Source organism: Homo sapiens, chromosome 1 (assembly GCF_000001405.40).
Source record: "Homo sapiens chromosome 1, GRCh38.p14 Primary Assembly".
Taxonomy (NCBI): Eukaryota; Metazoa; Chordata; class Mammalia; order Primates; family Hominidae; genus Homo; species Homo sapiens.
Genome location: NC_000001.11, coordinates 40,277,748 through 40,289,910, shown reverse-complemented (window position 1 = coordinate 40,289,910; position 12,163 = coordinate 40,277,748). Strand labels below are relative to the sequence as shown.

Below are 12,163 nucleotides of genomic sequence, written 5' to 3'. Positions count from 1 at the left end.
ATAACACTGTAATCAGATACAACGCCTCCCACCTGACTTTGAAGCGGAGGCTCCAAAGAAACAGGCTTCCCTTGAATCCTCTCTAGGCCCACTGGAGCTGTACCAGATAGTTAGAAAGGTCAGGGGGAAAAGTAGATCCATCTTGATCAATAAATGAGAGGAGAAAAAAATAAAAAATCTATACCAAAATACAACCTCTTGGAGTAAGGTTGGAGAACACACAACATTCTTTTTCTGTGCAAATTAGGATCTTGGAGGCCACATGTACCTTATTTAAGTGTGTTGCTTCAAACCATTTGACCCAAACGAGATGACCCAAGAAGCTGTCAGCTTAGAATGGGGCTTAGAGCATAAGAAGGCTCACCAGCTGCCCCAGGACAAGCAGCTTCGACACTCATCCTTATAACTCAGTGGATCCAATATGACAAGCTCCAACAGAAAACTCAGTGAAGTCTCCTACACTTATAATCTATGCATCCACTTTTGTCAAGTAACCATTGTCCTTTTGAAAAATAACTTTTGGTTTGCTACTGGGCCCTACTACAGACTGAATTCCTGGCCATGGGATACTGTGATCCTGCAAACTGAACTATCCCTTCTGAACTGGGTGCTATGTTAATCTGTTAATCTGCCTAGCCAGGAAACTGCTATGCGCAGAAGCACTTCATCATCAAGGACAAGTGGTAGATATAAGAGTGGAAATGAAGCAAGTTATGAAGGCACCAGTAAGTTAAATAAGCAGATGGCTCATACTCTAGTACACCAACTCCTACCACCAACAACCCTCAACCAACCCTTACTCATATGCTGTTCCCTATAATCAATTAGTTGAACAGGAACAAAATCAGAGCCTATTTTACAATAACTTAATACAATATGCTGGCACCAGATGAAAGTGGACTGCTGTGGTATTACAGAGCCACTCAGGGATGGTCTTGGAAGGCAGTGGTGAAGGGAATTACTCTCGGTGAGGTGAACTTTAAGGTGTATATCTCACTGTCTACTCAGCCTGGGAGGAGAGAGAGCCTGAGGCAAGGATATATATCCTAATTTATTGGCAGTGGGAAAAAAATGGTTCGGCTGAATTATTAGGGCCTTGGAAAAAAGTAGAGGATGGCTAACGAGATTTGGAAAAGAGGTATGTGAAAAACTTCCAAAATTACTGTTTGGACTATAGAGTTTGACTACAGTTGGCCTAATGTTAATGTTCACCCAAAGAGTCCCATGGTCAAGGAGGCTCTTGGTCAAGTGGGGAAGACACCTGCTCTGTGAAGGTCAGCTAGCCTTTCTCTGTAGCCGCTCCATGACTTGGTCAAGGGACTTATGAATAGAGTGGCCACAGCGACAAAGATGGAGTTAATGTATTAGTCAACACAGATACCCTCCTCACTGGCGCATGCCATATGCCCAATCTGTCCAGAGAAGCAATCAATCCCAGCCTTGATAAGGTACCACATCTCAGGGACCATTTAGCCACCTTGTGGTAGGCTGATTCCATTGGAACCCTTTCCCTCATGGAAGGGGCAGTGATTTTCCTTATTAGACTGAAAACTCAATTGAACTTGGACCTGGACTTATTTAATCTTACTCAGTGCCATGTATCCACACAACATAGCTTCAGGCCAAGGAATGCATTTCTATACCTAAAGATATAGGAAAGTGCCCACAGGAGTTCACAAGTCTTCCCATATAATCCATCACCCAGAACCAGCTGGCCTTTTTATTTTAATTTTTTTTAGAGACAGGGTCTGTCACCCAGGCTGGAAGTGCAGTGGTGTGATCATGGCTCACTGCAGCCTTGATCTCCTGGACTCAAGCCATCCTCCCATCCCAGCCTCCCAAGTAGCTGGGACTACAGGTGCATACCACCAAGCCCAGCTAATTTTTTAACCTTTTGGAGAGAAGGGGGTCTCGCTATGTTGCCCAGGCTGGTCTCAAACTCCTGGCCTCAGATGATCTTCCCTCGTCAACCTTCCAAAGTATTGGGATTACAGGCATGAGCCACCATGCCTTGCTCAGCCAGCCTTTTTAAAGGTCTGAAAATCCACTGAAGATTCAGTTAAGGCCACATATGCTCAGAACTAGTCAACATGATATAGTGCTTTTTCACCCAAAGCCTAAACATCTGTTGGTTTAGAGGTTCTAGAACCGAGAAGAGGAACATTATTGGGATTGCTTTCTTTTTGTATTTTCTACAATTTCCAATGAATATATGGCAACTTTTTTTTTTTTTTTTGAGACAGAGTCTCACTCTGTCGCCCAGGCTGGAGTGCACTGGGGCGATCTCAGCTCACTGCAACCTCTGCCTCCTGGGTTCAAGCAATTCTCCTGCCTCAGCCTCCCAAGTAGCTGGGATTACAGGCGTGCCACCACGCCTGGCTAATTTTTGTATTTTTAGTAGAGATAGGGCTTCACCATGTTGGCCAGGCTGGTCTCGATCTCCTGACCTCAAGTGATCCACCATCTCAACTTCCCAAAGTGCCGGGATTACAAGCATGAGCCACCACGCCGGCAATAACTTTTAAATGAAAAAAATGTTTTAGACCGGGCACGGTGGCTTATGCCTGTAATCCCAGCACTTTGGGAGGCCAAGGCGAGTGGATCGCTTGAGCTTAGGAGTTCAAGACCAGCCTGGACAACATAGTGAAAACCGGTCTCTACCAAAAATACAAAAAAATTAGCCGGGCGCGGTGGCATGCACCTGTGGTCTCAGCTACTAGGGAGGTAGAGGCTGGAGGATGGCTTGAGCCTGGGAGGTGCAGGTTGCAGTGAGTTGAGATCACGCCACTGCATTCTAGCCTGGACGACAGAGAGAGACCCCATTTCAAAAAAAAAAAGAAAAGAAAAAGAAAAAAATGTTTTTTAAAAAGCATTCTAGAGGCCGGGAGTGGTGGCTCATGCCTGTAATCCCAGCAATTTGGGAGGCTGAGGCAGGCGGATCAACTGAGGTCAGGAGTTCGAGACCAGCCTGGCCAACATTGAGAAACCCCGTCTCTACTAAAAATACAAAAAAAAATTAGTCAAGTGTGGTGGCGTGTGCCTGTAATCCCAGCTACTCAGGAGGCTGAGGCAGGGGAATTGCTTGAACCCGGGAGGCAGAGGCTGCAGTGAGCCGAGATCACGCCATTGCACTCCAGCTTGGGCAACAAGAGTGAAACTCCATCTCAAAAAAAAAAAAAAAAGCATTTTAGGGTGGGCACAGTGGTTCACGCCTATAATCCCAGCACTTTGGGAGGCCGAGGTGGGTGCATTACCTGAGGTCAGGAGTTCGAGACCAGCCTGGCCAACATGGTGATACCCTGTGTCTACTAAAAATACAAAAATTAGCCAGGGATGGTGGTGGGTGCCTGTAGTCCAAGCTACTCAGGAGGCTGAGATAGGAGAATCGCTTGAACCTGAGAGGCAGAGGTTGCAGTGAGCCGAGATCACATCACTGCACTCCAGTCTGGGTGACAGAGCGAGACTCTGTCTCAAAAAAAATTTTTTTAATTTAATTTTAAAAAGCATTTTAATGTCCAACTTATCTAGGCTTGTTCCTTTTGATTTTCCAAGTTCTTACTCTGGAGGTGATGATGGTGGTGATAACAATAATTTATATAGTACTCACCATGTTCCAGGTGCTAGTCTAAACTCTTTACATGTATTAACTCACTTAATTCTTAACCAGTCCTATGAGGTATTATCATTCAATGAGGGGACAGAGGCAGAGGTTAAGGAACTTGCCTGAGGTCACACAGGTAGTAAGTCAGGGAGCTGTGATAGGAAACCAGGTAGCCTGGCTGTGGTGTCTGCCTTGGCCTCTCTTATATGACCTCTCATGCCTGCCATAGTTCTAATTTGACTATCATGCCATAAAAAAAGAATTGTCACTCCACACTTACCTGGCTAATAATGATATTTTTGACTGTATGTCCCAACTTCCAGTGCCCCAGTTCATGGCCTAGTACAGCGAGTACCTCCTCATTTTTACATCCTTGTTTCTTATTCTGAATAAAAAAAAATCAAAAATAAATTATTGAGAACCTTTAAAAAGTTTTATCTTTTAACCCAGTAATAGCCCTTCATAGATTTTAACTTAAAGAAATAATCAGTTTTGTTCAAAACTGTTGATTGTCTTAACAAAACATTCCCTGAACCACTGCTCCACATGAGACAGTGGGTTAAGCACTGAAGATAGATAGAATGACGAACAAGATGGACATTCCCAGACTACATAAAGCTCACAGTCTAGACTAACTTAGATTAGGAAAAAAAAAACTGGAAGAAATAGAAATCTTTATAATGGGACAATAGTTAAATAAATCATGATAAAGTTATATGACAGTCACATTATATTACAAAATCATTAGAAATTTTGTTTTCAAAGATTAGGGCCAATTGCAGTGGCTCACGCCTGTAATCTCAACACTTTGGGAAACCGAGGCAGACAGATAACTTGAAGCCAGGAGTTCCAGACTAGCCTGGCCAACATAGCAAAATCCCATCTCTACTAAAAATACAAAATATTGCTGGGCATGGTGGCTCATGCCTGCAATCCCAGCACTTTGAGAGGTCAAGGTGGGTGGATCACGAGGTCAGGAGACCGAGACCAGACTGACCAACATGGTGAAACCCTGTCTCTACCAAAATACAAAAAATTAGCAGGGTATCGTGGTATGCGCCTGTAATTGCAGCTGCTCTGGAGGCTGAGGCAGGAGAATCAGAGGCTGCAGTGAGCTGAGATCACCAGTGAGCTGAGATCACGCCATTGCACTCCAGCCTAGGAGACAGAGCAAGACTCCATCTCAAAATAATAATAATAATAATAATAATAATAAATTAGCCAGGCATGGTGGTGCATGCCTGTAATCCCAGCTACTCAGGAGGCTGAGGCATGAGAACTGCTTGAAACTGGGAGGCGTAGTCTGTAGTGAGCCAAGATCACGCCACTGTACTCCAACCTAGGTGAAAAAGTGAGACTCCATCTCAAAAAAAAAAAAAAAAGGGATGATGTTTTGACATTGGAAAATGATTAGGTGAAGAAAGTAAGACACAAACTAAAAATATATAGTATGATTCTAATTATGAAACAATGTGAATGTGTATATAAAAATATACAAATATAAAAAGTAGACTGAAAGTATATACAAATGTTAACAGTAGTTATTATTATTTATTTTAGATGGAGTTTCACTCTTGTTGCCCAAGCTGGAGTGCAACGGCACGATCTCGGCTCACGGCAACCTCCACCTCCTGGGTTCAAGTGATTCTTGTGCTTCAGCCTCCTGAGTAGCTGGGATTACAGGCGCATGCCACCACACCCGGCTAATTTTTGTATTTTTAGTAGAGACAGGGTTTCACCATGTGAGTCAGGCTGGTCTCGAACTCCTGACTGCAGGTGATCCACCTGCCTTGGCCTCCCAAAGTGCTGGGATTACAGGCATGAGCCGCTGTGTGGGGCCTAGTCCCATTCTCTTACTAAGGAGCAAATAACCAAGGATTTACCAGATATATGAGGTAAGCTGTTAACACAGAAGATCTGATCCACAAAAAAAGCAACATGAAATAAATTATATAAAGAGAAAGTTTAGAAAATTAAGACATTGCACCTAAGAAAAAGTAACGAAATGCTGTAAATTGGAAAATTCAGATAAAAAAATTATTAGAAATCCAAGCTGAAGGCCAGGCATGGTGACTCAAGCCTGTAATGCCAGCACTCTGGGAGGCTGAGGCAGGTGGATCACGAGGTCAGGAGTTTGAGACCAGCCTGGCCAACATGGTGAAACCCCGTCTCTACTAAAGATACCAAAAAAAAAAAAAAAAAAAAAATTAGCTGGGCATGCTGGTGCACACCTGTAATCCCAGCTACTCAGGAGGCTGAGGCAGGAGAATTGCTTGAACCCGGGAGGAGGTTGCAATGAGCTGAGATCGCGCCACTGCACTCCAGCCTGGGCGAGAGGGCAAGACTACATCTCAAAAAAAAAAAAAAAAAGAAAGAAAGTTCAATACAATAAAGGATTGGAAGATGATGAGGGAATTCTAGAAAGCAGAAAGAGATATATTTAAAATGGAAAAGAGGGTTAAAAAGATAGGAGAGTTCAGTATAACAAATCCAGCACTCGAGTAAGAGGAGCCCTGAAAACACAGAATTTAAAAAATGGAGAGGAGAAAAATCAACAAAATAATTTCAGAAAATTTCTTACAACCATAGGACCTCGATTTCCAGAATAAAAGGGCCTAATGCATATATTACAGTGGATGAAAACAGTGTGATGCATATAACATGGTAGATGAAAACAGATCCCCATCAAGGTATGTGAAATTTTAGAACACTGAAACAGAGAAAGATCTAACAAACTTCCAGAAAAGCAAACAAAAACAAAAACAAAAAAAGTAACAAAAGGATCAGCAATTTTTTTTTTTTTTTAAGACAGGGTCTCACTTTGTCACCCAGGCTGGAGTGCAGAGGCAGGATCTCAGTTCACTGTAACCTCCACCTCCCAGGTTCAAGCAACTCTTGTGCCTCAGCCTCCTGAGTACTGGGATTACAGGCGTGCGCTATCATGCCCAACTAATTTTTGTATTTTTTTGTAGAGACAGGGGTTTCGTCATGTTGGCCAGGCTGGTCTCGAACTCCTGGCCTCAAGTTATCTGCCTGTCTTGGCCTTCCAAAGTGCTGGGATTACAGGTATGGGCCACAGTGCCTGACCATAAGCAGATTAACTTTCTAAACTTGCATGATTCTCTAGTGTTATCACTGGGTTATTCTTTCTGGACTTCAGTTTTCCTATTTATAAGATGACTTTAAGATGTCTTCTAATCCCTTCACAGAATTTTATTTCATCTACGTATTTATAACAGGCTAGGTACTTTACTAGAACCTGTTTTTAGTGTCAAAACAGATGCTCAGATGCTAATCATTTTCTGGTACTCTCTACATTTGGGTAGAGAGTACAAGGTATTTCACACATATTATTTCATTTAATCTTCAAAACCCTAAAATGTAGGTATCTTTAGCCTAGTATTTCTCAACCAGGGGAGACTCGGCCCCACCGCTACCTTTAGGGGACATCTGGCAATATTCTGAGACATTTTTGTTGTTACAATTTGTAGAGGTTGTAGGGGAAATGGCCCCTAGTGGGGAGAGACCAGGGATGCTGCTAAACATCCTGTGATGCACAAGATACCTCCCACAACAAAAAAATTATCTGGCTCAAAAAAATAGCGTGGGGCTTGAGAAACCCTACTGGCCTCATCTTTCAGTTAAGAAATCAAAGATTTAGAAAGCTTGGCGGGGTGCGGTGGCACACGCCTATAATCCCAGCACTTTGGGAGGCCAAGGCAGGCGGGTAACTTGAGGCCAGCAGTTCGACCAGCCTGGAAAACATAACAAGACCTCATCTCAAAATAAATAAATACATAAATAAATGAAAGCTTAACTTACTTGCACAGAGTTACACAGACAGTGAGTGAACAGGCATCTAAAATCATCTCTGTATGACACCAAAGGCAATGGCACATTCCATCACACATACAAATACTGATGATCATTTCTGACAGTTTGTATTGTTTCTTATCATTGTCCCCTCTCCCCCATTTAGTCTTGATACTTTAAATTCTGCTAATCAATATCAGTCAATCTTATCCACGAAAAGGATTCAGAAGCAGCTTTCTCAGACTCTCATGTCAGATTTGAGAAATGTCTTTTCTTGTGCTCCAGTTACTATATCTAGAATCTAAAGCTTGACAGTAGCAATTCACGTATTGTACTGTGATTGCATGACTATTTCCCCTTTAGACTGTAAGCTTAAGAGGAAGGTATTCCTTTTTATTTTTGTGTACCTAGTGCCAAGTAAAGTCTCTCAGCACAGAGTATACATTTCATAAATGGGTGTTAAACAAATAAAACAGACTAAATTACACAACGTATCCAAGGATACAAAGCTACTAAATGACAGAACCAGGATTCAAATCCAAGTCTCTCCATTGCCAAAGCCTACAATTACTGTCTTAATAAAGCTAAAAATTAGATGTTTATCTTCTCTTTATCTTGCTTGTGGGAATTCTTTGATCATAAACACATAAGAAATTATATATATATATACACACACATATATATATATACACACAAGTTCCTGTTTTAAAGATAGCTTATAATCATATGAATTTTCTTATAAGAGCTTCCAATTTTAATATCCACATTCTATAAAAGCTTGCAAGGTAGTTAGCATGTAATAATAGTGGTGATCTCTCCTAAATACCAGAACTATAAAGGAGCCATGGTTTTCATCTGATAGTCTCCCTGAATTCAACACTCACTGCCTAGAAATTGATGTTATTTTGAGTTGTCACAGGAACTGTGTATAAAAACTAAGGTAGAATCTCTTAGGAAAAAATAACTCACTTTAACTTTAGCTTTTATTTCTTCACTGTTCCCTTCTTCCTCATTGCGGGGTTCCATGCCAGAATCCTCCTGGATGTCTTTGTTTAGTACAGAGTACTCTTCTAGTAGAGTGTCAAACAAAACTATTCGCTTGTTCTTGAAGAAGCCATAAAAATAAGCATTGCTGTGGGAAGAGCGTTTAGATCCTAAGGAAAAGACAGTTCAAAGCATGGAATATAATTAAAAAGTTTGGGGTCCTTTGGAGAGACTCCTAGAAATTGAATTACTGGAAAGGACATTAACATTTTCAAATCATTTAATATGTGAAGAAAAATCATATCAACATAATTCACCACCAGCAGTGGAGAGTGTCTGTTTTTTGCCAATAAATGTGCTCATCACAGCTTTATAGCAGTAAGTAAATAAGTAAAGCCTAAACATCCAACAGTTACAAATGATTCAATTATAGTAAAACTATGAAATGGAATTTTAAGCTGCCAGAAAAAAATTATACTTCCAAAGAATTTTAACAAGAAAAAGCTCACCAATATATTGTGAAGGATACAAAACTTCACGTATATCAGGTTCCATTATCGTCAAGAAAAAATGTGCATGTATTAGGTTGGTGCAAAAGTAATTGCGGTTTTTGCATTGTTGAAATTTGCTGTTTGATATTGGAATACATTCTTAAATAAATATGGTTATGTTATACATCATTTTAATGCACATTTCTCACTTTATGTTTTTTGCTAATGACATTACTTGCTGTTTATTTTATATTTATTTTAGATAAGGGAAATTATATTAGACAAAAAGCAAATTCAACTGGGTGCAGTGGCTCATGCCTGTAATCCCAGCACTTTGGGAGGCTGAGGCAGGCGGATCACTTGAAGTCAGGAGTTCGTGACCAGCCTGGCCAACATGGTGAAACCCTGTCTCTACCAAAAATACAAAAAATTAGCCGGGCATGGTGGCGCACACCTGTCATCCCAGCTACACGTGGGGCTGAGGCATGAGAACTGCTTGAACCCAGGAGACGGAGGTTGCAGTGAGCAGAGATGTCGCCACTGCACTCCAGCCTAGGCAACAGACGGAGACTCTGTCTCACAAAGAAAGAAAAAAAAAAAAGCAAATTCAAGCAATTTTCTTCTTTGAGTTCAAAATGGGTCGTAAAGCAGCAGAGACAACTCGCAACATCAACAACGCATTTGGCCCAGGAACTGCTAACGAACGTACAGCGCAGTGGTGGTTCAAGAAGTTTGCAAAGGAGATGAGAGCCTTGAAGATGAGGAGCGTAGTGGCAGGCCATCGGAAGTTGACAATGACCAATGGAGAGCAATCATCGGAGCTGATCCCCTTACAACTACACAAGAAGTTGCCGAAGAACTCAATGTCGACCATTCTACGGTCGTTTGGCATTTGAAGCAAACTGGAAAGGTGAAAAAGCCTGATAAGTGGGTGCTTCATGAGCTAAGCGAAAATAAAAATTAAAAAAAATCATTGTTTTGAAGTGTCGTCTTCTCTTATTTTACACAACAAACCATTTCTCTATCAGACTGTGACGTGAGACGAAACATGGATTTTATAGAACAACGGGCGATGACCAGCTCAGTGGGTGGACACAGAAGAAGCTCCAAAGCACTTCCCAAAGCCAAACTTGCACCAAAAAAAGGTCATGGTCACTGTTTGGTGGTCTGCTGCCAGTCTGATCCACTATAGCTTTCTGAATCCTGGCAAAACCATTACATCTGAGAAGTATGCACAGCAAATCGATGAGATGCACAGAAAATTGCAACGCCTGCAACCAGCACTGGGCAACAGAAAGGGCCCAATTCTTCTCCAAGACAACACCCAACCGAACATCGCAAAATCAATCCTTCAAAAGTTGAACAAATTGGGCTATGAAGTTTTGCCTGATCTGCCACATTCACCTGACCTCTTGCCAACTGACTACCACTTATTCAAGCATCTCAACAACTTTTTAAAGAGAAAACGTTTTCACAACTAGCTGGATGCAGAAAATGCTTTCCAAGAGTTTGCCAAATCCCGAAGCACAGAGTTTTACCCTACAGAAATAAGCAAACGTATTTCTTGTTGGCAAAAATGTGTTGATTGTAATGGTTCTTCTTTTGATTAATAAAGATGTGTTTGAGCCTAGTTATAAGGATTCAAAATTCATGGTCTGAAACTGCAATTACTTTTGCACCAACCTAACAAATATTAACAGAAAAGCATAAGCCCATGCCTATTAGGAAACATACCAAAATACTGAAATGTTTATCACTAAATTCTAAAATTATAGATTTTTGTTTCCTTTCTTTTCCCAAAGACTTTTAAAATCAGCATACCTACTTCTATAATTAAAGCAATTTTTATAAAGACTGGAAGAAGACATACCTTTTTTTCTTTTGAGACAGGGTCTCTCTGTCGTCTAGGCTGCAATGCAATGGCATAATCATGGCTCACTGCAGCCTTGACCTCCTGAGCTCAATCAATCCTCCTGACTCATCCTCCTGAGTAGCTAGGACTACAGACACATACCACCATGCCCGGCTAATTTTTTGTAGAGACAGGGTCTTGCTATGTTGCCCAGGCTGGTCTCTAACTCCTGGGCTCAAGCAATTCTCCTGCCTTGGCATCCCAAAGTGCTGGGATTACAGGTGTGAATCACCACAGCTGGCCCATACCTAAATTTTTAATAGCAGCTAACAGTACCTGAACTATGGTTGATTTTTATTTTCTTCTTTATGCACTTCTTTGATTTCTAAATGTCCTACAATGTGCAGTGAGTTGAGTATAGTGATTAAGAGCACAGACTTTGGGTTCAAATCTTGGCTCTGCCATGTATTAGTTCTGTCAATTTAGAAAACTTTCTTAATTTCTTTAAGCTTTAGTTTCCTATTTATGAAGCGAGCCTAATATCTACCTCATTGGGTTAGATGATGGATTACACGAGATATTCTTTTTTTTTTTTTTTTTTTTTTTTTTTTTGAGACGGAGTCTCACTCTGTCGCCCAGGCTGGAGTGCAGTGGCGCGATCTCGGCTCACTGCAAGCTCCGCCTCCCGGGTTCACGCCATTCTCCTGCCTCAGCCTCCCGAGTAGCTGGGACTACAGGCGCCCGCTACCACGCCCGGCTAATTTTTTGTATTTTTAGTAGAGACGGGGTTTCACCGTGTTAGCCAGGATGGTCTCGATCTCCTGACCTCGTTACACGAGATATTCTAAGTGAAGCAATAATATGCTGTCTGATCTTTATACTACTACTGTTATTCATATACTTTTTTCAAAAAAGAAATGATAAACATTTATTTCTCTTGGGAATTTGAAGTCTCTCACAAAAAACATGAATTTTCTATCTACTCATATTTCTAATGAAAAGTACTAGGCAGTATGTTTAGTAGTAAAACTTTGACAAATAGAAGCTATTATTTATTTATTGCATTATTACATTTCTTTTTGGTTTGGTTGCCAGGAAGAGCCAAACATGTTTGCTTATTTTGTCTGTGTTACCCTTTGAACACAGGGTATCCTTCTATCTCTATCTTTCCTGATCCTAAATTTTTTTTTTTTTTTTTTTTTTTTGAGATGGAGTCTTGCTCTGTTGCCTAGGCTGGCAGTAGTGCGATCTCTGCTCACTGCAGCCTCCGCCTCCCGGGTTCCAGCGATTCTCCTGCCTCAACCTCCTGGGTAGCTGGGATTACATGCACACGCCACCACACCCAGCTAATTTTTGTATTTTTAGTAGAGACGGGGTTTCATCATGTTGGCCAGGCTGGTCTCGAACTCCTGACCTCAGGTG

General features: G+C 41.4%; 1 protein-coding gene across 3 annotated transcripts in view; it reads right to left on the bottom strand.

Annotated features, from left to right (window-relative positions):
- ZMPSTE24 (zinc metallopeptidase STE24) overlaps positions 1 to 12,163 on the bottom strand; it is a 35,945-nt gene that overhangs the window by 4,270 nt on the left and 19,512 nt on the right. For 2 of the 3 annotated variants that reach the window (NM_005857.5, XM_047427582.1), the window contains 2 exons: positions 8,384 to 8,568; positions 3,882 to 3,986 (listed from right to left, as the gene is read on the bottom strand). In NM_005857.5, coding sequence (NP_005848.2) covers positions 3,882 to 3,986; positions 8,384 to 8,568 — 290 coding nt within the window. Of the gene's footprint in view, positions 1 to 3,881; positions 3,987 to 8,383; positions 8,569 to 8,660; positions 9,792 to 12,163 lie in introns of those variants that run through there. The other variant, XM_047427590.1, reaches the window with a different exon arrangement.